Source organism: Homo sapiens, chromosome 20 (genome assembly GCF_000001405.40).
Source record: "Homo sapiens chromosome 20, GRCh38.p14 Primary Assembly".
Lineage (NCBI taxonomy): Eukaryota > Metazoa > Chordata > Mammalia > Primates > Hominidae > Homo > Homo sapiens.
The window spans coordinates 12,071,115-12,076,315 of record NC_000020.11 but is presented as its reverse complement, the minus strand read 5'-3'; the positions used below and the strand labels follow the sequence as shown (position 1 = coordinate 12,076,315).

Sequence of the window (5,201 nt, the reverse complement as noted above, 5' to 3'; positions counted from 1 at the left end):
CCACAGAACTTCATTTGAACATTTTCTTCTCACCATCTGCTTATTACAAGCTTATCTGTGGCTGCCTTTTCTATCCAGTGACAAATTCCCTTTTCTTCTTTGCTTCCTAATTACTAATCCTCCTTTATAATTCTAAGGAAAGTAACTCCTCTGTCTGTCTGTTGCTATGGCTTCCCAGCCTAAAGCAAGTTCTCCCTTCCTTTTTACTGAGAGCAACCTGATATTTCTCTTATTTTCAGGAGGCAATGTGTGCAACTTCCAAATGACAATTTCCAAATGGTCTAAGCAAATCAAATAACTCATTCTGTTTGGCTGTGATTTGAGTAGAAGTAGATAATGTAACTACTTATGGCCAATAAGATGGAAGAAGAATTCTGCTGGGGCATTTGGGTAAGATTTTCCACACTGAAGAGTACTACCAGAAAAAAGAAAGCCTTCCTGATGCCCTTTGTCTTTCTCAGGGCAATGTCTGTGACAATGTGATGGTTGGAGCTGAGGCCGCCATCTTGCGTGCATGAGGACAGACATCTCTCATTTTGAAGAAGACAGATGAGAAGGGAAGAAAGTGCCAAGCTGTCATTGCTTTCTTGAGTTTCCCAACCAATCCTGAGACTACCTGACAACAAGATTCTTAAATAAATAATAACCCTCTTGATGAATTTGATCAGCGTTTATTCAGGTATTTGGATGGATGAATTTGAATTTAGCAAACTACAGATGAGAAGGAAACAGCAGGACCATTCCTAACACTTGTGGGACCCAGAGCAAGCTAGGAACAATGACCCGCAAATCACATACTAAATATTTACCAGTTAAAAATTAAGGTATAAACTGCTAAGTTAAATGTGTTCTGTCCTCATGCCTTGGAAAATAGTATGCCATCATAACAACCTGAGAAGACAAATTGCAATTTTGAGTGTTTGAACTCCTTTTGGGGCATTGTGCTGGAACATGGTGATACAAGAAGATCCTAGTTCCAGTCCCTGATCCATGGGTGGGCATCTTCCCTTCCCATTCCCCAGCTCTGTCCTACCTGTGAGATGTCTTGAGAGAACATATTCAGACACTTTAGCCTGCAAGTTCAAATGTCATCCAATTCTCCCATACTTCCAATAGACATACTCGGCTCCCCTGTGGACACCAAGGTATGCAGAGCTGTGGAAGGATGGACCGGGGAAAAGGCACACATGGCTCTGAAACCAAATCATGGCCCATTAGAAAGAAATGTCAGAGTCCTGGGCACCTGAAGAACAGCCTGAACAAAACAGCTTGGAACTTTGAAACACAGCAGGAGAGAGGCCTTCAAATGCATGTGGCTTTTTGTAGGGGCTCTTCCTGACTGAGTCTAAGGTGATACTGAGAAACAGTCTGTCAAGGGAAGATGTTCACCCAAACATCACCAGGAGACAGGCTGAAATCTTAAAACCTCAGCAGCATGTTGGTCCCCAGAAGTATTTACAAAGTAGCTCTTCCCTTTTTCATCTTATTTGTAAGATTCGAACTTCAGTGATTTTCAGCAAATGACGAGAAGTTGTTCTTAGATGTAAATCCACAGAGATGGATTTATCAAGAAGCCAATGAAGCTGAAGCTCAAGGCTTCTCACTGGCACAGGTTCTGAGGAAGAGCCTCGACAACATATTCACACAATACGGAGGCAGCCATCTTGTGAACAAGAGGGCAGACATCATCATCTGAAGATGGCAGAATGTATTTTTGTAATACGTAAAGGTAAGATATTTTTAAATTCTTAACTTGAAACTCTCCCCCTCCAGCTCCCAGGCTAAATTTTACATAAAATGGCGTAACCACCATGCAAAACAGTTTGGTAGTTCTCTAAAAAGTTAAACAGGAAATAATCACCATGTGATCCAGTGATTCTACTCCTATATGCCCCAAAGAGTTGAAAACAGGAACGCAGACAAATACTTATACATCAATGTTCACAAGAGCATTCTTCACAAGTTAAATGGTAGAAACAAGCCAAATGTCCACAGACAGAAGAATGGATAGATGAAATGTAGTCTGTACTTACAATGGAATGTTATTCAGCTTTTAAAAGGAATGAGGTTCTGATATATGATACCACATGGATGAACCTGGAAAACATTGTGCTAACTTACACTGGACAGAATTGGTAAATTCATAGGAACAGAAAGTAAGTTAGAAGTTATCAGGGGCTAGGGAGATTGCAGAATGGAGTGATTGCTTTATAGTTACAAAGTTTCTGTTTGGGGTCATTAAAATGTTCTGGAAATAGAGGTGACAGTCATACAACATTGTTACGTAAACTGATTTTTTCTTTTCTTTGTTTTTGTTTGTTTGTTTGTTTTTGAGACAGGGTCTCACTCTGTTGCCCAGGGTGGAATGAAGTGGCAGGATCATAGCTCACTACAGCCTTGATTTTCTGTGGTCAAATTATTCTTCCACCTCAGCCTCCTGCCTCAGCCTTCTGTGTAGGTAGGACTACAGGCCATGCACCACCATGCTTGGCTAATTTATCTTTAAAATTTTTTGTAGAGACGAGGTCTCACTATGTTGCCCAGGCTGGTCTCAAACTTCTAAGCTCAAGGGATCCTCCTGCCTTGGCCTCCCAAAGTGTTGGGAATATAGGTGTGAGCCGCAGGGCCCAGCCCATGTATACTTACTGCCACTGAATCTTACACTTAAAATGGTTAAAATAATACATACTATGTTATAAATATTTTATCATAATAACAAAGGCTCCCAAATTGTGTTAGCTTGAGGCTCCACTAGGCTGGATTTTTCTTGTTTGCCCATCATTCAATCCTATCACATATTCATTGAACATTTAAGAAGCACAAAGCACTGTGGGTGTACAAGGAAGACAGGGAATGCCTTGAAGGCACACCACCATCCTGCCCCTCACTTCTCCAAACACTGTTGTGTTAATGGGAGTTTTTTCAGTCTATTTTAATGGGTTGGACATGATGCTTGACCTCAAAGAGTTTTGCTCTATGTCAAAGGACAACCTACACAAGACTAACCATAATACAAAGACTTATCGGGGATTTAATAATATAGTGTGCATAAGGCATTCAGTATGGGCCTGACATGTATTTGACACTAAAATACAGCTTCACCATGATACACTGCATCAGCAGCCCCACCTCACCTCCGGCCTCCTGGGAAGTTTATAACAAAACCTATGGGAGCACAAAGGAATGCATTTTAAAGTCTGTGGTTACATGTTTTGTTGATTATATGCGCATTGTTTGAGAAAATACCAAAGAATAAAAATGGCATTTAGTATCTCCTAAAAGTGCTAGAGTGGAAGGAACACAGCCTTAGGTGTGAGTCAGTCTTAGGTCTGCTTTTGGCTGGGTTTCCCCAGAAGATTCTTTAAGGCAGAGCAGCAGGGGTTTATTTGCAGATGGTCCTAGGAAACACCACTGGGGAGCAGGGAAGGAGAGGAAGTCAACGTGGGGCGAGTTGTGAACAGATCACCAGTGTGGACAGCAGAGGCTCAAGGCCACTTGGGACCTCCGGGAGATGGATTGGAACACACTTCAGTGAGGCCTCACTTGCAGGAATAAAGCTGGTGTATTTATCCTCCAGCTTCCATCCATTGTTGGCTGAAGGCTGCTCCTGGAGATGTTGACTTCTCAGCACTTTCAAACTTCTCACTTCTTGGGCCAAGAGAAAGCCCTCGGGTATAGAAGAGCAGGTGTCTGCAGGCTGATGCCATCAGTGTATGCTGATATGGTGAGGACCAAGGGGATCTGGGGGTGGGGGCCCACCAGCGTCTGTCTCTATCACCAACTTGGATAACCTATGATGCAATTAAAACAAACAAATCTCTCTCTTAGTTTCCTGTGGCTGCTAAAACAAAGTACCACAAACTGGGTGGTTTATAACAGCAGAGATATGTTTGTTTCACAGTTCTGGAGGCTAGAAGTTCAAAGTCATGGCGTCAGCAGGAACAGCCTGCCTTTGAGACTTGGGGTAGAATCTTTCCTTGCCTCTTTCCAGCTTCTGATGGTGGCCTCAGTCCTCGGCATTCCTTAGCTTAAAGCTGCATCCCTCCAGCCTCTGCCTCTGACCTCACATGGCGTTGGTCCTGTGTGTCTCTGTCTCCTCACAGCATTTTCCTCTTCTTATAAAAACACCTGTCACAATGGATTAGAGCCCACTCATATGAACTCATCTTAACTTCATTACCTCTCCAAAGGCCCTATTTCCAAATGATTCACAGGTATCAGGTGTTAGATACACATCATTCAACATATCAGTTTTGGAGACGCAATTCAACTGATAACAACTCCTTTATTCTCAATCGTTCACTTGAGAAAATGGGGATCATCATTCCTAGTCTATCGATTTGTTTTGAGTAAGGAAAAGAAAATGCTGAAAACATCACAGAACAATCTGTGAGAATCTTGTGAATCCTGCTCTGTGATAAACCCAGGGAACTTTGAAATAAAAGAAAGGGGATTTTCCACTAATAGTTCAACTTTTAAGTGAACAAAGAAAGCAGAAATACACAACATCCACAGAGCATAACGGGTGGCCTAATTGAAGCAGTTGCCTCTCTAAAGAACATCTTGGGCCGGGCGCGGTGGCTCACGCCTGTAATCCCAGCACTTTGGGAGGCCGAGGCGGGCGGATCACGAGGTCAGGAGATCGAGACCATCCCGGCTAAAAAGGTGAAACCCCGTCTCTACTAAAAATACAAAAAATTAGCCGGGCGTAGTGGCGGGCGCCTGTAGTCCCAGCTACTTGGGAGGCTGAGGCAGGAGAATGGCGTGAACCCGGGAGGCGGAGCTTGCAGTGAGCCGAGATCCCGCCACTGCCCTCCAGCCTGGGCGACAGAGCGAGACTCCGTCTCAAAAAAAAAAAAAAAAAAAAAAAAAAGAACATCTTGATGGGAAATGGTTTGTTCAGTCCTGGAAAGAGGAGTAACAAAGGCAGACCAAGGAGACCGCCTGACACCATTCAGACAGGGCACAGGAGAGAAGATGCCATGGGCTGGCCTCCGAAGAGTCTTGGTCTTGTGGATAAGGCTCTCACTGCTAGAGCCCTTGAACTTCAGAACCTTGCCCTGGACTCCTGGGGGTCTTGCTCTCTGCTCACCCGGTCACTTGCTGGGTCTGATTGGATTTTCACTGTTGCCTGCCTTCCCAGGGAGATTCCTCCAGCCATTGCACATCTCTCACCTGTTTTGCTTTTCATTATAAATGAA

At 43.6% G+C, this 5,201-nt stretch overlaps 1 annotated feature.

Moving 5' to 3' along the window:
* Positions 1,363–2,562: an enhancer, noted in NCBI's record as "MED14-independent group 3 enhancer chr20:12054402-12055601 (GRCh37/hg19 assembly coordinates)". NCBI's record gives its function as "activates an origin of replication core promoter dependent on BRD2, BRD4, P300/CBP and CDK7 cofactors, and independent of MED14, by STARR-seq in HCT116 cells {active_cell/tissue: HCT116}" and the evidence as "EXISTENCE:reporter gene assay evidence [ECO:0000049][PMID:35650434]".